Below are 24,127 nucleotides of genomic sequence, written 5' to 3'. Positions count from 1 at the left end.
TCATCCACTTTTAGTTTTCTTCTCTTCCTACTTGAAATTGCCTACCAATTTTCAGAGCCCTCTCCTTCCTTTATACCGTCATGAGTTGCGCACTTTGCTTATTTTCCTGATTAAGATCATAAGCCTCTTAAGGGAAAGATCCTGTAGTCAAAATTACATTCTTGAATTGAATTGGGTTGGACTGGAGTGGACTGGAGTGATAAGTATTGTCACATTATAGAATTCCACCCACTGAAGTGCAAGTGTTAAATGTATTAATATTTCAAGTTAATGGATACTCTGCCCAAGTTTTTAGTTAATTATTATTAACTTTCCATTATAAAAGCTTGTTTTTGTTATTAAATCAATCATCAGATTTAACGCAGAAATCAACTCATGTAAACATACAGTGAGAGAATTGTATTTTTCTCTAAATTTTCAGGACATTGAAAAAGACTTGAAACAAATGAGGCTTCAGAACACAAAGGAAAGTAAAAATCCAGAACAGAAATATAAAGCTAAGGTAAGAAATACTTTTGTCTTTGGGTTCCATATTAAATAGCTGGCTGGGGAGCCACCTTGTGATCTCGGTTGCCTGCATGATTTTCCCCCTAGTATTTTATAGAATTGCTCTATTTTGTGATATGAGACCAATGGTTTTAAGAATCTATAATGTCAAACAAAATTGACCTAGGGAGTTGTAATTTTAAGGCTTTTACTGAATTGCTAAACTTTTTTTTTTTTTTTGCTTTCTCCTAGAAGGGGGTAAAATTTGAAATTAATTTAGACAAATGTATTTCTGATGAAAACATCCTCCAAGAGGAAGAGGTATGCCATTAAGTCTAAATTTCCATTAGTAGGTATCAGAAAATGCATATATCTTAATAGCATGTTTCATGAAATTATTTCACAGGCTGTAGGGATAATTTTTTTCAACTTTTATTTTAGATTCAGGTGGTACATGTGCAGGTTTGTTACCTGGATATGTTGTGTGATGTTGAGGTTTGGGATATGAATGATCCCGTCACCCAGGTATTGAGCATAATACCCAGTAGTTAGTTTTTCAAGCCTTGCTTCCCTCCTTTCTTACCCCCACTGTAGTAGCTCCCAGTATCTATTGTTGCTATCTTTATGTCCATGAGTACCCAATGTTTAGCTCCCACTTATAAGTGAGAACATGCAGAATTTGGTTTTCTATCCCTATGTAATTGGTTTTCTATCCCTATGTAATTTGCTTAGGATAGTAGCCTCCAGCTGCATCCATGTTGCATGGACATGATTTCATTCTTTTTTATGGCTGCATAGTATCCCATGGTGTATATGTACCACATTTTCTTTATCCAGACCACCACTGATGGGCACCTAGGTTGATTCCATGACTTTGCTATTGTGAATAGTGCTGGGATGAACATGTGAGTATATGTGTCTTTTTGGTAGAATGGTTTGTTTTCTTTTGGATATATACCCAGTAATGGGATTGCTGGGTTGAACAGTAGTTCTAAGTTCTTTGAGAAATATCCAAACTGCTTTCTACAGTGGTTGAACTAATTTACATTACATTTCCGCCAACACTACATAAGCATTCCCTTTTCTCTGCAGCCTCGCCAATATTTGTTTTTTGACTTTTTAGTAATAGCCATTCTGACTCGTGTGAGATGGTGTCTCATTGTGGTTTTGATTTGTAGTTCTCTGATAATTAGTGATGATGAGTATTCTTTTATATATTTGTTGGCTGCTTGTATGTCTTCTTTTGAGAAGTGTCTCTTTCTATCTTTTGTCCACTTTAAAATTTGGGTTGTTTTTTCTTGTTCAGTTAAGTTCCTTATAGAGTCTGGATATTAGACCTTTGTTGGATGCATAGTTTGCAAATATTTTCTTCTATTCTGTAGGTTGTCTATTTACTCTGTTGATAGTTTCTTTTGCTGTGCAGAAGCTCCTTAGTTTAATTAGGTTCCACTTGTCAATTTTGTTTTTGTTGCAATTGCTTTTGAGGACTTAATCACAAATTCTTTCCCAAGGCCCATGTTCATAATGGTGTTTCCTAGGTTTTCTTTTAGGATTCTTATAGTTTAAGGTCTTACTTTTAAATTGTTAAGTCATCTTTAGCTGATTTTTGTATACAGTGAAAGGTAGGGGTCCAGTTTCATTCTTCTGCATGTAGCTAACCAGCTATCCCAGCACCACTTATTGGATAGGAAGTCCTTTCCCCATTGCTTATTTTTGTCGATTTTGTCAAAGATTATATGGCTGTAGATGAGTGGCTTTATTTCTGGGTTCTCTATTCTGTTCCTTGGTTTATGTGTTTGTTTTTGAACCAGTACCATACAGTTTTGATTACTGTAGTCTTATGGTATAGTTTGAAGTTGGGTAATGTGACGACTCTGGCGTTGTTCTTTTTGCTTAGAATTACTTTGGCTATTTGGGCTCTTTTTTGTTTACATATGAATTTTAGAATAGTTTTTTTTTTCTCCAATCCTGTGAAAAGTTACATTGGTAGTTTGACAGGAATAGTGTTGAATCTATAGATTACTTTGGGCAGTATGGCCATTTTAATGATATTGATTATTCCAATCCATGCATGTGGCATGTTTTTCCATTTGTTTATGTCATGTATGATTTCTTTCTGTGTTGTGTAGCTCTTCTTGTAGAGATCTTTCACCTCCTTGGTTAGATGTACTCCTAGGTATTTTATTTTATTTTTTGGTGGCTATTGTAAATGGGATTACGTTCTTGATTTGGCTCTCTGCTTGAATGTTATTGGTGTATAGGAATCCTATTGATTATTGTACTTCGATATTGTATCCTGAAACTTTGCTGAAGTTGTTCATCAGTTCCAGGAACCTTTGGGTCGAGTCTTTGGGTTTTCAACCTATAGTATCATAAGCGTGAAGAGATGGTTTGACTTCTTCTTTTCTTATTTGGATGCCTAGAATTTTAGAAAATATTTCTAGAAAAATGTTTGGTGCTCAAGGCCAGGGAACGGTGGCTCACAGCTGTAATCCCAGCACTTTGGGAGGCTGAGACGGGCAGATCATGAGATCAGGAGATTGAGACCATCCTGGCTAACATGGTGAAACCCCATCTCTACTAAAAATACAAAAAATTAGCTGGGTGTGGTGTCACCCACCTGTAGTCTCAGCTACTTAGGAGGCTGAGGCAGGAGAATCACTTGAACCCAGGAGGCAGAGGTTGCAGTGAGCTGAGATCACTGTACTGCACTCGAGCCTGGGCAACAGAGTGAGACACTGTCTCAAAAAAAAAAAAAGGGAAAGAAAAATGTTTGGTGTTCAAATGAGTCCTCCAAATACTTTTTATTCTCCCATTTTATTTTATTGGTGTTATTTCTTTAGATAAATTATTACATTTTAATTTACTTTTCTTTAAATAAAAGAGCTATTTTACTCATAATATTAATTTTTATCATAGCCAAATTAAAATAGAAGACCTGATACATTGTCAACAACTAATATACTGACCTAAAAAATTGAACAGGTACCCTGAAACCAGGCACATTTATTTTAGGTCTTAATTAGTTATTGATAACTTTAAGTAAATCTCATTTATGCATTTGGGCTCTCCTTGCCACAGCAAGGAGTAAATACAGTAAATCCAATACAGTAAATCCAAATTTCATTTTATTAGTTGATTTCAAAATCTTTTTTTATCCTGGTTTTATCAGACCTATAACAAATGTCAAAATTAATTGGTTTATTTTTCCATTTTACCTTTTCTGAATTCACCTTTTAAGTCAATATAAGTATGAATAATTATACCTGATGCTCAGTTTTTATTTAATGTTCTTTATTAGCTTAAAACATTTTCATGTTAGCATTTCTTATTTTTATGAGCATTTGCTACATAAAGACTTCATTAGAGTGGTGATAGTTAGCATTCACCTCTGTTCAACCATAAATTCCTAAATGCCCCAGAGGTGAGACATCAGAGTGGAGCAGATCTGGGGACCTGCTTCTGAGTGGGAACTTGAGAAGTGGTACTCTCACAGAGCTTCTGTGAAGTGAGGTGCTGACGTTGCCCTGCTGAAATGAAAGAATGGAGTCCAAAAAGTTTTAACTGCCACTCTTTCTTATTCTTTGCTTTGATCTGCGTGAAACAGAAGTGGTCATTTTGGTATTGACTACAAAATACTAGGAGCAGATTTAGGGAGCTGGTTAAGAATGTTGTACACTTAAAACAGGGCATGAATGAGAAAAGCTTGAGAGCACTGTAGAATGGAGCTGAAGTGGAATACTATTGAAGTCAGAAAGTCTAGATAAAATTAAGTTGCCTTATGACCAGTGCTTGACACTGTTAACATGGAGAAGAAATGAAAACATTTCTGTTTTTATCTAACATAGCTCTAGTTTTAAAACTCTATGGATTTATTTGTTTAGTAAACATTTGTTGAATATTTACTATATACCTTGCTAATTAATTTTACTAGGAACACGAAAATATGGTTTTTCTTTCTTTCAAAATATGGCTAATTTATCATGAAACACTGTGGAATTGATTTAGGCAATGGATATACCAAATGAAACTTTGACCTTTGAGGATGGCATGAAGTTTAAGGAATATGAATGTGTAAAGGAGCATGGAGATTATACAGACAAAGCATTTGAAAAACTTCACTGCCCAGAAGCAGGTATGTGTTTCTTGAAAGTTGTAAATGAGAAGGAACTGTTTTATTAGCAACCCATTTTGAACTCTGTCCCCATGCATCTGCCTCGGCTCCACTGTTACTTGACCCCTTTCTGCCCTCTCTAAGCAAGGCAGAAACACACTTATTATTCTCCTGCCACCCATGCAGTGGCCACACTCCCTGAGATCCAGCCCTCCTCTCCTGCTCCATACCCACTCCCTCTTGCAGCTTTGGCTTCTCCCAGGAGCTCCAGACTTACCAGTCTTTCTCATTGTCTTCTGGGAAGCTCCATGGACAAGTGTTGCCAGTATCTGAAACTCAGCTGTGTAAAGTCAAGCTCTTCTGTGCTCTTCCCAGTGACCCTTTATTTTGGTTAGTGTCACAGATGCAACTGGCTGGGGCCAGTGTTGTGGGCAGTAAAAGAATTTATCAACACAATTGTAAGTAAAGAAAGGCAGATTTATTAAAGTACAGAGATACGTTGCAAGAGTGCAATGGGCAGCACAGCAGAGAAGAGGCTGTCTGCTAAGAGGCAGGGGCTAGAGGGAAGTTTTATAGGGTCATATTGGAGGAGCTACATGCTGATAAGGTGTGCAGATAAGGTTTTGCTGCTTGGGCTACATGTGGAAGGAATGAGGTATTTGGGAACAGGATGTGACAGCAGCTTGTCTGTGATGAGTCATCTCTCAGAACAGTTGTTCCCCCATCCCCACCCCCAACCTGGGACCCCTCCCTTTTTGTTGTTTACTTATCTTATGAGAACTTCACAGTCAGTGCTGTCACCAGGGTGCACCCTTAGCATAGTGTCTATTCTGAGATGTCTCTGGAGTCTTCCTCTTCCTTCATTCTCTCTGTTACTGGTTTAGGGCTCTGTCATCTCTCAGTAGTGTGGTGTAGGCTTCAGAGACAGATGGGAATTGAATCTCAGCTGTTGCTGCCACCTTCTGGTTATGTGACCTTTCTTTCACAAGTTATTCCAACACTGAATCTCAGTTTCACCTTAGGAACAGGGGATAATAGTAGTAGGAATAACCACACAGGGTAATTGTGAGGACCAAAGTGAGTTTTGATGTATAAACGACCTGGCACATACTAGGTGCCTAAATTAAGTGCTGTCTTTTCATTTTCCCTTTTCCTTCCCCTTGCTGTATTGCCTTATTTGCTTATGTGACCTTCTTTCTCTAGTATTTCCCCTTCATTCTCTAAATGGTTACTGTATTAGTCCATTTTCTTGCTGCTGATAAAGACATACCTGAGACTGAGCAATTTACAAAAGAAAGAGGTTTAATTGGACTTACAGTTCCACATGGCTGGGGAAGCCTCACAATCATGGTGGAAGGCAAGGAAAAGCAAGTCACATTTTACATGGATGGCAGCAGGCAAAGAGAAAGAACTTGTGCAGAGGAACTCCTCTTTTTAAAACCATCTTATCTCGTGAGACTCATTCACCATCACGAGAACAGCATGGGAAAGATCCGCCCCCATGATTCAACCACCTCCCTCTGGGTCACCCCACAACACACAGGAATTCAAGATGAGATTTGGGTGGGACACAGCCAAACGATATCAGTTACTAAAGTTATCTTGGCATATTATTACTCTGCTCAGATTTTTTTTTGGATAATACCTGCAGAATAAGGTCCATTCCACATATTATCACATTTAACACTACATGGCCTAATTCTGCTGTGACCCACTTTTCTCATCCCAGCATGGCCTCTTTCCTTCCATGGAAAATGGGATCCATACAGCCTGCTGGAATGCCCATTTTCTCCTACAGCTGGAATGCCCATTTTCTCCTACAGCATTTACAGAACTGACTTGGCTCAGTTTCCTCTTCCTGGAATACTCTCTGCCTCATTTCCTTCTGGAAAAATCTCCATTCAGCAGGCATCTTATTGAGGATCTCCTTTGTGCCAAAGACTGCTCACTGGTAGGGAGCTCAAAGATGAATGAAATCTGGGCCCTGTTCTCAATATCACAGAAGTGTTATGAGCAAAAAAGTCACAAAACATGTTTTCTGAGCCTGAAATGTTAATCACTGTTTGAAGTGCGAGCTGGGTGGAGAGTCAGGGAGGTCCGCACTCCTCCAGGGCTTCACATGCCATCATTTTTGTGATTGAGAAGGATCATGCTGGCTGCAGAGCAAAGGATGGCATGGAGGGCAAGACTGAAGGCAGGAGAAGAGTCCAAGTGCATGAGCCAGAGTGGTGCAGGGAGAATAGATACTGAGTGTGGGAACTGAGGAAGAGAAGGGGCTCAAGGATATTCCCAGTTTTCTAATTCAAATGCATGAAGCTTTCATCAACCAAAAATACATCACATGGAGGGTAATGGGGTCGGGAGAGACAAGGTAGTGATCTAAATTTGGAACATGTTGAGATTTAGGTCTATAGAGCATCAGTTGCAGATTCTATATAAGACTGAAGGCCTGGGGCATATCAGGGATAAAGATATAGCTTGGTGGCCCTTAGCATATCCGTGGTTTTTAACTTTGGTGATGGTCAAAATACCTATGCAGAAGGACTGGAGTGAGAAGGAAATGGAGCTTAGGACATAACCCTACCACTATATAAACAAACTTTGGAGAATCAGGAGAGAGTAAAGCCAAAGGAGGAGAGACAGGTCATGGAGGAGGCACAGGAATTGGCAGCATCAACTGGAAGAGAAAGGCCAGATGAGGTGAGTGGGATTTGGCCCTTCAGGAGCCGTTAATGGCCTCAGGGAAAGCAGTCAACTGTGTAAGGGGTAAATTCAATGGTTATCTTTGCATCAGTTTGCTGGGAAAAGCAGAGGGGGTTGGCTGTTTTTTAGATGAAAGAAAAAAAAACCTTCATCAGTAGTATACTGAAAATTGTCTCTCATTTTAATCTGTATTCCTGTAATTATTATTTAGGCTGAAGGATTTTTCCGTATGTTTGTTGACCATTCATATTTCTCCTTTTTTTTTCTTTTTTCTTTTTTTGTTTTTTTTTTGAGAGGGAGTCTCCCTCTGTCGCCCAGGCTGGAGTGCAGTGGCACAATCTTGGCTCACTGTAACCTCCGCCTCCTGGGTTCAAGCGATTCTCCTGCCTCAGCCTCCCTGAGTAGCTGGCATAGGTGCGCGCCACCACGCCTAGCTGATTTTTAAAATATTTTTAGTAGAGATGAGGTTTCACCATGTTTGCCAGGCTGGTATTTGAACTCTTGATCTCAGGTGATCTGCCCACCTTGGCCTCCCAAAGTGCTGGGATTACAGGCGTGAGCCACCACGCCTGGCCAACCCTTCATATTTCTGTTATGAATTATGTACTCATGCCCTTCATCCTTTTTTCTACTGAAAATGGCATGTTTGTTTTTTTCTTTATAAGACTGATTTAAATCAAACCTTTGCCTGTAATATGTATTGCAAATGTTTTCCTCAGTTGGTTGTCAGATCTCATTTATAGTAATAACAGCAAATATATATGAGTGTGTGTGTGTGTGTGTGTGTGTGTGTGTATTTGTGTATTCATCCACTTAGGAATAAATTTTATGAGAATTGTGCGGCATATAGAAAGAAAACTGTAAAACCTTACTGAGGTATTTACAGACCACTTGAATAAATGGAGAGAAATAACGGTGCTATATATTGGAAATATTTTTTCCAAATAAATATTGCAGTATCGTTGTCTGAGGTATTACCCAGAACTCTTTGTCTCACGACCAAAAGAATAAGGAGGGTGGACAGTAAGGGTGAGTTTGGACCGAAAATTTAATAAACAAAAGAGGAAAGCTCTTCACTGTGGAGAGGGGACCCAAGAGGGTTGCCATTTCACAGCTGAGTACAAAGGCTTTTATGAGGAACCTGATAGGGCTGGGGGTTTCATTTGCATAAGGCATGAATTTCTGGCAGCTCCACCCTGTTCTCCTAGTATGCTGACTGGCTAGGGGTTGTTTTTGGAAAAGGCACCACTCAGAAAATGACATGATGGTTGACCAGGCATGGTAGTTCATGCCTGTAATCCCAGCACTTTGGGAGGCTGAGGTGGGCAGATCTCTCAAGGCCAGGAGTTCGAGACTAGCCTGGCCAATATGGCTAAAGCCCATCTCTACTAAAAATACAAAAATTAGCCAGGTGTGGTGGTGCACACCTGTAATCTCAGCTACTTGGGAGGCTGAGCCACAAGAATCACTTGGACCTGGGAGGTGAAGGTTGCAGTGAGACAAGATTGTGCCACCACACTCCAGTCACACTCCAGCTGGGTGACAGAGCAAGCAAGACTCCATCTCAAAAAAAAAAAAAAAAAAATGACGTGGTGTAAAGACCAGTTGGAGCCTTGGCCCACAACCAGCTGAGTGTTGGAGTGATGGTTCACAGAGGCTTGGCTCACAGTCCAAAGTATGCCCCAAAAAGGAAAGGAATGTGCTCACTGGGGCCCACCATGTACATGCCCACAAAAGGAGAAGGAACTATTTGCTAGAGGCCCACTGATTGCACAAAGAACAAAGGCATTTCTGTGTTGGACTTTGCTCCCTTATCTGTGCAGCTGTGGGCATGTTTTAGGCAAGCTTCCTGTGCTAGTTCCCTTATCTGTGTCTGCAGCTTGATTTTTCAGACTGTTCTTTTGTTTGAAAGAATTCTGAGGACCTGCCCTAACTGCCTGCCTAACTGATTCTTTCTTTCTCCTCCCTCAATATGTGGATTTATGGCTATTTCAATCAAAACCACAGTAGGATTTTTTTTTTAATGGTATAGGGAGATCTTGGCAGGTTGGAGAATCCTGGAGCTTCTTAAGTGGCCAAAAATTTTGAAAAAGAAGAACAGTGAAGTGGTACTTACATTTCCAAATGTCAAAATATATTACAGAAATTATAGTCATTCACACAATATGATAGTAGCACCCAAATAGTTAAAACAGTGAGAAGAGAAAGTTAGAAACAGATCCTAGTATGTATCATAATTCAGCACAAATGAAAAGTAACATCACAAGTCAGCGTGAAAAGAAAGGATTATTCAGATAAATGCTGCTGGGCCAATTGGTTAACAGTTTGGGGAAGATTGTGAAATCAGACCCTATATAATATGATACAACAAAATAAATTTTTTAAAAAAGAGTTATATGTAAAAAGTTATACATTAGAAAATGAAATAAAAGAACATAGGTCATTTTTTTTTTTTTTTGAGACAGCGTCTCACTCTGTCACCAAGGCTGGAGTGCAAAGGCGTGATCTCGGCTCACTGCAAACTCCGCCTTCTGGGTTCAAGCGATTCTCCTGCCTCAGCCTCCCGAGTAGCTGGGACTACAGGCACCCGCTACCACGCCCAGCTAATTTTTATATTTTTGATAGAGACGGGGTTTCACCATGTTGGCCAGGATGGTTTCGATCTCTTGACCTTGTGATCCGCCCGCCTCGGCCTCCCAAAGTGCTGAGATTACAGGCGTGAGCCACTGCACCCGGCCGAGTTAATTTTTTTTGAACAGGGAAGAGCTATCTGTTCAAAATACATAGAAAAAAAAACCACAGAATAAATTAGTAATAATTCAACTTTAACAACAAAAAGCTGTAATAAAGCAAATCATACTAACCCCTAGAATTGTCATTTTCAATAATGTATCTAGTTTAAATAATCATAAATGTCCACAAAAATTTAGCTACAAATGAGGTCATTATATAATGGTATTATTTTTAATAGTGAAAAATCACTAGCAACCTAAAAATCTGGCAGGAAATGATTAGTTATATTACATTCATAAAGCAGAATATTATGATTGCTTTAAAACAGCTGTATAGAAGAATACTTAATAACCTGGATATGATCTGTAGCTGATTGAAAAAAGCAAGCTCTGAGAGGACATGTAGTATGTGGTCCAATTTTTTGTTTCAAAACAAAGCAAAAACCATATGCAGAAGGGAAAAATTGAAATTATTATAGTCTCTGGACAGTGAGATTATGGGTGATTTTTTTTTTTCTTCTACCTACCTGATTTTCAGATTTTCTATAGTGAAAACAGTAATAAGGAAAAAGACAGAACAAGTTATTTTTTAAATTAAGAAAATGGAACAGATTTTGTTTCTGTGGAAAAAGACTAGATTGAAAGTTCTCATAGATGCCTCAAGGAAGTCCATTTGTGTCACTGATATTTCCTTAGCATTTAGCAATATTGGCTAGTCAGTCAAACACTAAGAGTAAAAGTAAAACAGTGTTGACACCTTTTTGTCATTTCAGTCTTATATCTGTTAGAACAAGGGTGGTCATTTTTCTGGTTTTGAACATACCTGCTGATAAACTGCCTCTGAGTTCCTAAGAAGTGTTTGGGACAATTAGTCACACTTTGACTGCTTTCGAATTAATGAGTTGTTTTCTTACACCCAGGGTTTTCCACGCAGACTGTAGCTGCTGTGGGAAACAGGAGGCAGTGGGATGGAGGAGCGCCTCAGACTCTGCTGCAGATGATGGCAGTGGCCGACATCACCTCCACCTGCCCCACGGGGCCTGACAGTGAGTCTGTGCTTAGCGTCAGTCGTCAGGAAGGGAAGACCAAGGACCCGTACAGCCCAGTGCTCATCCTGATGTGATAGTCTACTTCTCACTATACACCCTATAGATCTTGTATCAGACACTTTCAAATATGTTGTTTTGATATCTCCCTATGCCTAAAGAGACTTGCCTGCTAATTATCCTGGACAAATGACCACTCTAGACATGCACATATAAAGGAGGAAAAATCCAGGATGCCACCTTCCTCAGAGTGAGGGAAAATGCGTGAGGAAGGACAGCTGACTTGATTTACCTTCCAAGGCCAGCTCAACAACTTTTTTTGCGATTTCATAGGGTCATTTTTTTTTTTTTAATTTTTATTTTTTATTGATCATTCTTGGGTGTTTCTCGCAGAGGGGGATTTGGCAGGGTCATAGGACAATAGTGGAGGGAAGGTCAGCAGATAAACAAGTGAACAAAGGTCTCTGGTTTTTCTAGGCAGAGGACCCTGTGGCCTTCCGCAGTGTTTGTGTCCCTGGGTACTTGAGATTAGGGAGTGGTGATGATTCTTAACGAGCATGCTGCCTTCAAGCATCTGTTTAACAAAGCACATCTTGCACTGCCCTTAATCCATTCATCTCTGAGTGGACACAGCACATGTTTCAGAGAGCACAGGGTTGGGGGTAAGGTCACCGATTAGCAGGATCCCAAGGCAGAAGAATTTTTCTTAGTACGGAACAAAATGAAAAGTCTCCCATGTCTACTTCTTTCTACACAGACACGGCAACCATCCGATTTCTCAATCTTTTCCCCACCTTTCCGCCCTTTCTATTCCACAAAACCGCCATTGTCATCCCGGCCCGTTCTCAATGAGCTGTTGGGTACACCTCCCAGACAGGGTGGTGGCCGGGCAGAGGGGCTCCTCACATCCCAGTAGGGGCGGCCGGGCAGAGGTGCCCCTCACCTCCCGGACGGGGCGGCTGGCCAGGCGGGGGGCTGACCCCCCCACCTCCCTCCCAGACGGGGCGGCTGGCCGGGCGGGGGGCTGACCCCCCCCACCTCCCTCCCGGACGGGGTGGCTGGCCGGGCGGGGGGCTGGCTCCCCCACCTCCCGGACGGGGCGGCTGGCCGGGCGGGGGGGCTGACCCCCCCACCTCCCTCCTGGATGGGGCGGCTGGCCAGGCAGAGGGGCTCCTCACTTCCCAGTAGGGGCGGCCGGGCAGAGGCGCCCCTCACCTCCCGGACGGGGCGGCTGGCTGGGCGGGGGGCTGACCCCCCCACCTCCCTCCCGGACGGGGCGGCTGGCCGGGCGGGGGGCTGACCCCCCCACCTCCCTCCCGGACAGGGCGGCTGGCCAGGCAGAGGGGCTCCTGACTTCCCAGTAGGGGCGGCCGGGCAGAGGCACCCCTCACCTCCCGGATGGGGTGGCTGGCCGGGCGGGGGGCTGACCCCCCCACCTCCCTCCCGGATGGGGCAGCTGGCCGGGCGGGGGGCTGACCCCCCCCCCCACCTCCCTCCCGGACGGGGTGGCTGGCTGGGCGGGGGGCTGACCCCCCCACCTCCCTCCCGGACGGGGCGGCTGGCCTGGCAGGGGCTGACCCCCACCTCCTTCCCGGATGGGGAGGCTGCCGGGCGGAGACGCTCCTCACTTCCCAGACAGGGTGGCTGCCGGGCGAAGGGGCTCCTCACTTCTCAGATGGGGCGGTTGCCAGGCGGAGGGTCTCCTCACTTCTCAGATGGGGTGGCCGGGCAGAGACGCTCCTCACCTCCCAGACGGGGTCGCGGCCGGGCAGAGGCGCTTCTCACATCCCAGACGGGGCGGCAGGGCAGAGGTGCTCCCCACATCTCAGACGATGGGTGGCCGGGCAGAGATGCTCCTCACTTCCTAGATGGGATGGCGGCTGGGCAGAGACGCTCCTCACTTTCCAGACTGGGCAGCCAGGCAGAGGGGCTCCTCACGTCCCAGACGATGGGCGGCCGGGCAGAGACGCTCCTCACTTCCCAGACGGGGTGGCGGCCGGGCAGAGGCTGCAATCTCAGCACTTTGGGAGGCCAAGGCAGGCGGCTGGGAGGTGGAGGTTGTAGCGAGCCGCGATCACGCCACTGCACTCCAGCCTGGGCACCATTGAGCACTGAGTGAACCAGACTCCGTCTGCAAACCCGGCACCTCGGGAGGCCGAGGCTGGCAGATCACTCGCGGTTAGGAGCTGGAGACCAGCCCGGCCAACACAGCGAAACCCCGTCTCCACCAAAAAAGTACGAAAACCAGTCAGGCGTGGCGACGCGTGTCTGTAATCACGGGCACTCGGCAGGCTGAGGCAGGAGAATCAGGCAGGGAGGTTGCAGTGAGCCGAGATGGCAACAGTACAGTCCAGCTTCAGCTCGGCATCAGAGGGAGACCGTGGAAAGAGAGGGAGAGGGAGACCGTGGGGAGAGGGGGACCGTGGGGAGAGGGGGACCGTGGGGAGAGGGAGAGGGAGAGATTGTCATTCTTAATAGTATGTTATTACTGCTGAGCACAGTAATAGCCATAGTAGTGGTAGCTGCTGCTGTTGTCATTGTTGTCGGGTCATTTTTTTTTCCACCAGTAAAATAAGAATTAAAAGAGTAGCTATCTCTACAAGATTTCGAGAGTTAATAGTTCAAAGATACATATAAATTGCTTTGAAGCCAATGTGCTATTTAAATGTTAGGAGTGTTTAGGATATGATTATGTTTTCTACCTAAATTCCATCATTTACATTTGAACCTCTCACATAGCCTTTCCTTAGAAGAGGATCATAGCAGGCTGGGTGCAGTGGTTTACGCCTGTAATCCCAGCACTTTGGGAGGCTGAGGTGGGCAGATCATGAGGTCAGGAGTTCAAGATCAGCCTGGCCAACATGGTGAAACCCTGTCTCTACTAAAAATAGAAAAATTAGCCGGGTGTGATGGCACACACCTGTAATCCCAGCTACTCGGGAGGCTGAGGCAGGAGAATTGCTTGAACCTGGGCGGCGGAGGTTGCAGTGAGCCAAGATCGTGACACTACACTCCTGGCTGACAGAGTGAGACTCTGTCTCAAAAAAAAAAAGAAAGAAAGAAAAAAAAGAAGAGGGCCATAGCAGCCTCCAACCTCTGGATGTTATCTTCACAGGTGGTAAAGATTTTTATTACTTATTTCCTATGTTCTTGATAACATGGGCTGAGAGGGAGCTAAAATTTGTACATGTGCTGTAAGTTGAAATATGTAAGTATATCACTGAAATGAGCAATTATGTCTATAAATTGAGTTTCCCCTCAATTGTCTTATTAAGTTATAAATCAATTTAAAATAGGCAAATAGAATAAAAATTGTTATCACACCAAAATGGCCAGTTTACAAAGCAATGAATGACTCTTCCCCTCATCAGCTATGTGACAAGAAGTCACTAAACTTTTCTATATCTCGGCTTCTTTATTAATAAAATGAGAGGTGGGATTAGGTTACCTCCAAGGTTTTAACATTCTTTGATCTTATACAAATGCCAGTGAAGAAGCATTTTTATTTTTAATAACACTTTCCTCTTCAGATGGCCAAGTTATTGTGATTGAAGGCATTCCAGGAAACAGGAAACAGTGGCGGCATGAAGCTCCAGGAACTTTAATGAGTGTTTTGGCAGCAGCACATCTAACGAGTAGCTCATTTTCTGCCGATGAAGAATTTGGTATGTAGTTTATTTTTAACAACATAACCAGTCCTCAGAGGAATTTTGTCAAGACTTGCAAATGCTGAAAGGGGATAAAAATACCTTCAGCTGGGAGAGAGAATTGGGAGGGTGTCTAGCCTTTTCAGAAGCTGATTTGCTTTGTCCAATCCTATTCCAAATGCTACTAACAAAAGACATGAGCTTTCCAGGAGAGTGGTGTAATTTTCTTTAATGCAATCAGCTGACAACTGGTGAAAAGTTTAAGTAGGGCTAGTGGCTTTGTAGCTGACGATCCAGTATTGTTTTGCTCTACCTGAGTCAGTTTATTTCTGACAGCTATTCAGTGGACTCAAATTACTATCCCATGGACAATAAAAATACAACATAATATCATTTGTTTTTTTCCTCCAATTTTTAGCAAGATTCTGCTTTTGTTTACTTTAAGGCAGGAGCCCCCAACCCTCGGGCCGCAGACCAGTACCAGTCTGTGGCCTGTTAGGAACCAGGCCACACAGCAGGAGGTGAGTGGCAGGCAGGTGAGCATTACTGCCTGAGCTCTGCCTCCTGTCAGATCAGCAGCTGCATTCAGTTCTCATGGGAGCATGAACCCTATTGTGAACTGTGCATGTGAGAGATCTACGCTGTGTGCTCCTTATGAGAATCTAATGCCTGATGATCTGAGGTCCCCAAAACCACTCCCCTTCCCTGCCCCCATGGAAAAATTGTCTTCCATGAAACTGGTCCCTGGTGCCAGAAAGGTTGGGGACCACTGCTTTAAGGGAAGCCAACCATCATTTTCTAAAATTTGAGGGGCCTGGGTGTAATGGCTCACGCCTATAATTCCAGGACTTTGGGAGGCTGAGGCAGGAGGATCTCTTGAGGCTAGGAGTTAGAGGATGCTGTGAACTATGATCACTGCTCTCCAGCCTGGCTGACAGAGCAAGAACTTGTCTCTAAAAATAAAAAATAAAGTTTGAGGGAAATCACATCATAATGAGGGTTTGTTCTTATATCAGATATTCAAGTGTGAAGTGCTACAAGAAAAGCTACTGCAGGCAAGCAGGGATCCCAGGAGCATCTGCATGAGTGTGAGGTCTGGGACCTGGTTTTGTGGTGAAGTGAGGTTGAAAAACAAGTAGAAAAACTAAGGTACTAGATATTCTTGGAGGCTGATAAATGTTTACAAAGTTAGGCTGGGCGCGGTGGCTTATGCCTGTAATCCCGGCACTTTGGGAGGCCGAGGCAGGTGGATCACCTGAGGTCAGGAGTTCGAGACCAGCCTGGCCAAACCTCGTCTCTACTAAAAATACAAAAATTAGGTGGGCATGGTGGCAGGCGCCTGTAATCCCAGCTACTTGGGAGGTTGAGGCAGGAGGAACGCTTGAACCCGGGTGGCGGAGGTTGCAGTGAGCCGAGATGGCGCCATTGCACTCCAGCCTGGGGGACAAGAGTGGGACTTTGTCTAAAAAAAAACAAAAAAAAGTTTACAAAGTTAATTACCACTACAAAAACATAGTAATTTTTAACTGTCAGTTGAGTCCCAACAGTTAATGAATACACATTTTATAATATTTTGAAAGAGGCTTTCTAATGGAATTTTTTTATGTGGAACAGGACATTTTATTAACACATCTAAGTATCTTTGTTTCTCTGAAGTATGAAGCCAAAAGTTTAAGATTATAAACTCATAATTAGTCATTAATATCTTAGCATTATATGTTATTTGGAGATGATCTAGATAATGAATACCTATCATTTAATTTAGCTTAGCAAAACTTGAGGAGAAAAAGTTACCAAAAGGATTTGAAAAACCTTTTTTAAGTAAACACATTAGAAAACCTAATTATTATTATGATTATTATTATTTTTTTATTTTTTTATTATTATACTTTAAGTTTTAGGGTACATGTGCACAATGTGCAGGTTAGTTACATATGTATACATGTGCCATGCTGGTGTGCTGCACCCACTAACTCGTCATCAAGCATTAGGTATATCTCCCAATGCTATCCCTCCCCCGTCCCCCCACCCCACAACAGGCCCCAGAGTGTGATGTTCCCCTTCCTGTGTCCATGTGTTCTTATTGTTCAATTCCCACCTATGAGTGAGAATATGCGGTGTTTGGTTTTTTGTTCTTGCGATAGTTTACTGAGAATGATGATTTCCAATTTCATCCATGTCCCTACAAAGGACGTGAACTCATCATTTTTTATGGGTGCATAGTATTCCATGGTGTATATGTGCCACATTTTCTTAATCCAGTCTATCATTGTTGGACATTTGGGTTGGTTCCAAGTCTTTGCTATTGTGAATAATGCCTCAATAAACATACGTGTGCATCTGTCTTTATAACAGCATGATTTATAGTCCTTTGGGTATATACCCAGTAATGGGATGGCTGGGTCAAATGGTATTTCCAGTTCTAGATCCCTGAGGAATCGCCACACTGACTTCCACAATGGTTGAACTAGTTTACAGTCCCACCAACAGTGTAAAAGTGTTCCTATTTCTCCACATCCTCTCCAGCACCTGTTGTTTCCTGACTTTTTAATGATTGCCATTCTAACTGGTGTGAGATGGTATCTCATTGTGGTTTTGATTTGCATTTCTCTGATGGCCAGTGATGGTGAGCATTTTTTCATGTGTTTTTTGGCTGCATAAATGTCTTCTTTTGAGAAGTGTCTGTTCATGTCCTTTGCCCACTTTTTGATGGGGTTGTTTGTTTTTTTCTTGTAAATTTGTTTGAGTTCATTGTAGATTCTGGATATTAGCCCTTTGTCAGATGAGTAGGTTGCGAAAATTTTCTCCCATTTTGTAGGTTGCCTGTTCACTCTGATGGTAGTTTCTTTTGCTGTGCAGAAGCTCTTTAGTTTAATTAGATCCCATTTGTCAATTTTGGCTTTTGTTGCCATTGCTTTTGGTGTTTTAGACATGAAGTCCTTGCCCATGCCTATGTCCTGAATGGTAAAGCCTAGGTTTTCTTCTATGGTTTTTATGGTTTTAGGTCTAACGTTTAAGTCTTTAATCCATCTTGAATTGATTTTTGTATAAGGTATAAGGAAGGGATCCAGTTTCAGCTTTCTACATGTGGCTAGCCAGTTTTCCCAGCACCATTTATTAAATAGGGAATCCTTTCCCCATTGCTTGTTTTTGTCAGGTTTGTCAAAGATCAGATAGTTGTAGATATGTGGCGTTATTTCTGAGGGCTCTGTTCTGTTCCATTGATCTATATCTCTGTTTTGGTAGCAGTACCATGCTGTTTTGGTTACTGTAGCCTTGTAGTATAGTTTGAAGTCAGGTAGTGTGATGCCTCCAGCTTTGTTCTTTTGGCTCAGGATTGACTTGGCGATGCAGGCTCTTTTTTGGTTCCATATGAACTTTAAAGTAGTTTTTTCCAATTCTGTGAAGAAAGTCATTGGTAGCTTGATGGGGATGGCATTGAATCTGTAAATTACCTTGGGCAGTATGGCCATTTTCACGATATTGATTCTTCCTACCCATGAGCATAGAATGTTCTTCCATTTGTTTGTATCCTCTTTTATTTCCTTGAGCAGTGGTTTGTAGTTCTCCTTGAAGAGGTCCTTCACATCCCTTGTAAGTTGGATTCCTAGGTATTTTATTCTCTTTGAAGCAATTGTGAATGGGAGTTCACTCATGATTTGGCTCTCTGTTTGTCTGTTGTTGGTGTATAAGAATGCTTGTGATTTTTGTACATTGATTTTGTATCCTGAGACTTTGCTGAAGTTGCTTATCAGCTTAAGGAGATTTTGGGCTGAGACAATGGGGTTTTCTAGATACACAATCATGTCATCCGCAAACACAGACAATTTGACTTCCTCTTTTCCTAATTGAATACTCTTTATTTGCTTCTCCTGCCTCATTGCCCTGGCCAGAACTTCCAACACTATGTTGAATAGGAGTGGTGAGAGAGGGCATCCCTGTCTTGTGCCAGTTTTCAAAGGGAATGCTTCCAGTTTTTGCCCATTCAGTATGATATTGGCTGTGGGTTTGTCATAGATAGCTCTTATTGTTTTGAGATACGTCCCATCAATACCTAATTTATTGAGAGTTTTTAGCATGAAGGGTTGTTGAATTTTGTCAAAGGCCTTTTCTGCATCTATTGAGATAATCATGTGGTTTTTGTCTTTGGTTCTGTTTATATGCTGGATTACATTTATTGATTTGCGTATATTATTGAACCAGCCTTGCATCCCAGGGTTGAAGCCCACTTGATCATGGTGGATAAGCTTTTTGATGTGCTGCTGGATTCGGTTTGCCAGTATTTTATTGAGGATTTTTGCATCAATGTTCATCAAGGATATTGGTCTAAAATTCTCTTTTGTGGTTGTGTCTCTGCCAGGCTTTGGTATCAGGATGATGCTGGCCTCATAAAATGAGTTAGGGAGGATTCCCTCTTTTTCTATTGATTGGAATAGTTTCAGAAGGAATGGTACCAGTTCCTCCTTGTACCTCTGGTAGAATTCGGCTGTGAATCCATCTGGTCCTGGACTCTTTTTGGTTGGTAAGCTATTGATTATTGCCACAATTTCAGATCCTGTTATTGGTCTATTCAGAGATTCAACTTCTTCCTGGTTTAGTCTTGGGAGAGTGTATGTGTCGAGGAATTTATCCATGTCTTCTAGATTTTCTAGTTTATTTGCGTAGAGATGTTTGTAGTATTCTCTGATGGTAGTTCGTATTTCTGTGGGATTGGTGGTGATATCCCCTTTATCATTTTTTATTGCATCTATTTGATTCTTCTCTCTTTTTTTCTTTATTAGTCTTGCTAGCGGTTTATCAATTTTGTTGATCCTTTCGAAAAACCAGCTCCTGGATTCATTAATTTTTTGAAGGGTTTTTTGTGTCTCTATTTCCTTCAGTTCTGCTCTGATTTTAGTTATTTCTTGCGTTCTGCTAGCTTTTGAATGTGTTTGCTCTTGCTTTTCTAGTTCTTTTAATTATGATGTTAGGGTGTCAATTTTGGATCTTTCCTGCTTTCTCTTGTGGGCATTTAGTGCTATAAATTTCCCTCTACACACTGCTTTGAATGCGTCCCAGAGATTCTGGTATGTTGTATCTTTGTTCTCGTTGGGTTCAAAGAACATCTTTATTTCTGCCTTCATATCGTTATGTACCCACTAGTCATTCAGGAGCAGGTTGTTCAGTTTCCATGTAGTTGAGCGGTTTTGAGTGAGATTCTTAATCCTGAGTTCTAGTTTGATTGCACTGTGGTCTGAGAGATAGTTTGTTATAATTTCTGTTCTTTTACATTTGCTGAGGAGAGCTTTACTTCCAAGTATGTGGTCAATTTTGGAATAGGTGTGGTGTGGTGCTGAAAAAAATGTATATTCTGTTGATTTGGGGTGGAGAGTTCTGTAGATGTCTATTAGGTCCGCTTGGTGCAGAGCTGAGTTCAATTCCTGGGTATCCTTGTTGATTTTCTGTCTCGTTGATCTGTCTAATGTTGACAGTGGGGTGTTAAAGTCTCCCATTATTAATGTGTGAGAGTCTAAGTCTCTTTGTAGGTGGCTCAGGACTTGCTTTATGAATCTGGGTGCTCCTGTATTGGGTGCATATATATTTAGGATAGTTAGCTCTTCTTGTTGAATTGATCCCTTTACCATTATGTAATGGCCTTCTTTGTCTCTTTTGATCTTTGTTGGTTTAAAGTCTGTTTTATCAGAGACTAGGATTGCAACCCTGCCTTTTTTTGTTTTCCATTTGCTTGGTAGATCTTCCTCCATCCTTTTATTTTGAGCGTATGTGTGTCTCTGCATGTGAGATGGGTTTCCTGAATACAGCACACTGATGGGTCTTGACTCTTTATCCAATTTGCCAGTCTGTGTCTTTTAATTGGAGCATTTAGTCCATTTACATTTAAAGTTAATATTGTTATGTGTGAATTTGATCCTGTCATTATGATGTTAGCTGGTTATTTCGCTCGTTAGTTGGTGCAGTTTCTTCGTAGTCTCGATGGTCTTTACATTTTGGCATGATTTTGCAGTGGCTGGTACCGGTTGTTCCTTTCCATGTTTAGCGCTTCCTTCAGGAGCTCTTGTAGGGCAGGCCGGTGGTGACAAAATCTCTCAGCATTTGCTTGTCTGTAAAGTATTTTATTTCTCCTTCACTTATGAAGCTTAGTTTGGCTGGATATGAAATTCTGGGTTGAAAATTCTTTTCTTTAAGAATGTTGAATATTGGCCCCCCTCTGTTCTGGCTTGTAGAGTTTCTGCCGAGAGATCCACTGTTAGTCTGATGGGCTTCCCTTTGAGGATAACCTGACATTTCTCTCTGGCTGCCCTTAACATTTTTTCCTTCATTTCAACTTTGGTGAATCTGACAATTATGTGTCTTGGAGTTGCTCTTCTCGAGGAGTATCTTTGTGGTGTTCTCTGTATTTCCTGAACCTGAATGTTGGCCTGCCTTGCTAGATTGGGGAAGTTCTCCTGGATAATATCCTGCAGAGTGTTTTCCAACTTGGTTCCATTCTCCCCATCACTTTCAGGTACACCAATCAGACGTAGATTTGGTCTTTTCACATAGTCCCATATTTCTTGGAGGCTTTGCTCGTTTCTTTTTATTCTTTTTTCTCTAAACTTCCCTTCTTGCTTCATTTCATTCATTTGATCTTCCATCACTGATACCCTTCCTTCCAGTTGATCGCATCGGCTCCTGAGGCTTCTGCATTCTTCACGTAGTTCTCGAGCCTTGGTTTTCAGCTCCATCAGCTCCTTTAAGCACTTCTCTGTATTGGTTATTCTAGTCATACATTCTTCTAAATTTTTTTCAAAGTTTTCAACTTCTTTGCCTTTGGTTTGAATGTCCTCCCATAGCTCGGAGTAATTTGATCGTCTGAAGCCTTCTTCTCTCAGCTTGTCAAAGTCATTCTCCGTCCAGCTTTGTTCTGTTGCTGGTGAGGAACTGCGTTCCTTTGGAGGAGGAGAGGTGCTCTGCTTTTTAGAGTTTCCAGTTTTTCTGCTCTGTTTTTTCCCCATCTTTGTGGTTTTATCTACTTTTGGTCTTTGATGATGGTGATGTACAGATGGGTTTTTGGTGTGGATGTCCCTTCTGTTTGTTAGTTTTCCTTCTAACAGACAGGACCCTCAGCTGCAGGTCTGTTGGAGTACCCGGCCGTGTGAGGTGTCAGTCTGCCCCTGCTGGGGGGTGCCTCCCAGTTAGGCTGCTCAGGGGTCAGGGGTCAGGGACCCACTTGAGGAGGCAGTCTGCCTGTTCTCAGATCTCCAGCTGCGTGCTGGGAGAACCACTGCTCTCTTCAAAGCTGTCAGACAGGGACTTTTAAGTCTGCAGAGGTTACTGCTGTCTTTTTGGAAAACCTAATTATTATTAAAACTTCTACCTGGCCAGGCTCATGCCTGTAATCCCAGCCCTTTGGGAGGCTGAGGCAGGAGGATCACTTGAGCCCTGGAGTTGGAGGCTGCCATGAGCCATGATTGTGCTGCTGCACTCCAGTTAGTGTGACAGAGTGAGACTCCAACTCTAAACAAACAAACAAAAACCTCTTATTTCATTACATTTATTTATTCCTTCATAACAACTATGTTTGGAAATTTTCAGGAAACATTGGACAAATCTAGCCATCATCTTATTTCTTTATTAATCATTTCTACAGTTTGTGAATGTTAGGCAGTCACCACCAAAGCAAAAGCCCTAAGGTTAATACATGGACGTTTTGCTGATCAAATGACACTGCTGCTTTCATTAAACCAAAAAACTAGTCTTATTTACCAAAAATTTACCCAAGTTACAAGAATTAAAAGGCATTTTAGTGCATTTCTACTTTTCTGATAAAATATTTCATTTAAGCACTTACTTTTTCTTTAAGCCAATTAACTATAGCTCTTTCATATATTTTGGTAGTGAAATATCAACAAAACACAAGTTCAGCTGCCCTCCGCTTGCAAAATTGAATAACAAGGACAAGGTGCAGTAGAAGGAAAGTGCCTTTATTTTTCAGCGCTAGCAGTGGGGAGATGGTTCAGGCTCCTGCCTTAATAAAACCACTTCGGAATTCTCAGGCAAAATGCTAGGGCTTAAGAAGAGGATGTTTGGTATGGAGGGTATGTGGGGCGAGATGGTGCAAGTCTACGTGACTTGTTCCAATGACTTATCTTGAGTTATTGCCCCATCTGGTGAATTGGGCTGGTACCATCTCGGGCTTGTCTGGGTTGTAAATTAGCTGCAGCCTTGAAGTTCCTGGTGGGGGAGAATTTCATATGCATCTGGATTGTCTCAAGATTCAATCTCTGGAACTTCTAAGCAAACATAATTAGATAAGCCAGCAATGCAAGGGAGTGCTTGGTGGAAAGAAAGTCAAGATTTTTATTTCATTACTAAAAAGTTAATACAGAGGGCTGCAGGAGGAAAAAAAAATTAAAAATAGGGCACTCAGTTACAAAATCACATACACATGATACATATAAACATACACACAGAAGCAGGTTTTGTAGCTTCATAAGGCTTTCATTTGCCAGTTTTCAAATAATTTTTCCTCCAACTTTATTTTTTATTTTATTTATTTATTTATTTTTGAGACGGAGTCTCACTTTGTTACGCAGGTTGGAGTTTCGGCTCACTGCACCCTCTACCTCCCAGGTTCAAGTGATTCTCCTGCCTCAGCCTCTGGAGCAGCTGGGATTACAGGCGCATGCCACTATGCCCAGCTAATTTTTGTATTTTTAGTACAGACTGGGTTTCACCATGTTGGCCAGGCTGGTTTTGAACTCCTGACCTCAAGTGATCCACCTGCCTCAGCCTCCCAAAGTACTGGGATTACAGGTGTGAGCCACTGCACCCAGCCTGAGCCACCATGTCCTCCAACTTTAGACTATCAATCTCTTGATTACCTGTTCCATTGCCCTAAACAATTGTTAGCAAGCCAACCCTAAATTTGTACTTCTGAAAGGATGACTCTTAAGGGCACAGAACTTAGATCTAAACACTATTGTTTGCTGGAAAAAAAAAGGCACAGTCAAGGTTTAGTCAAGACAAGATTGCCAGGAAAGGTGTCTGGAACAAAGGTAAGGTTTGTTATGTGAACTTTAAACCAATGCCTTTCCCATCTTAAAAATTTCTGGTGGCTTGGGTGTAGAGGGAGGCCTTACAAATGAAGATTTCCTTTATAGATATAAATCTTTTTTTTTTACAAAGAATTTTAAAACAGGGCCTAATATTTAATATGTGAAAAGCAGGCAAAACTCGAAGGCAGTGCATCTAAATCTTTCAAAATCAAGGATCTCACTTCTATATTGAATCCTGGGTCCCCCACAAAGAGGGAAACACCATGAGTCTGTGCTCCTTGCTGCAAATACGTTCCCCTGAGGCTGGTGGGTAACCTAATGCCAGTCAAGCTACTCTGTGAGCAGCCCATCCCCAATAGGA

The 24,127-nt window shown here is 42.2% G+C and overlaps 1 protein-coding gene across 15 annotated transcripts in view; it reads left to right on the top strand.

The window, feature by feature from the left end:
* The window catches only part of NEK5 (NIMA related kinase 5), a 95,463-nt gene that overhangs the window by 52,509 nt on the left and 18,827 nt on the right, over positions 1-24,127 (top strand). For 7 of the 15 annotated variants that reach the window (XM_047430292.1, NM_001365552.1, XM_047430291.1 and 4 more), the window contains 5 exons: positions 422-502; positions 739-807; positions 4,495-4,621; positions 10,956-11,081; positions 14,612-14,746. In XM_047430292.1, coding sequence (XP_047286248.1) covers positions 422-502; positions 739-807; positions 4,495-4,621; positions 10,956-11,081; positions 14,612-14,746 — 538 coding nt within the window. Of the gene's footprint in view, positions 1-421; positions 503-738; positions 808-4,494; positions 4,622-4,846; positions 5,870-6,423; positions 7,301-10,955; positions 11,810-14,611; positions 14,747-24,127 lie in introns of those variants that run through there. The other 8 variants (XR_941575.3, XR_941574.3, XM_047430288.1 and 5 more) reach the window with 8 other exon arrangements.

Source organism: Homo sapiens, chromosome 13 (assembly GCF_000001405.40).
Source record: "Homo sapiens chromosome 13, GRCh38.p14 Primary Assembly".
Classification (NCBI taxonomy): Eukaryota; Metazoa; Chordata; class Mammalia; order Primates; family Hominidae; genus Homo; species Homo sapiens.
Note: the sequence above shows the minus strand (reverse complement) of the source record. Positions and strands in the feature narration are given on the sequence as shown.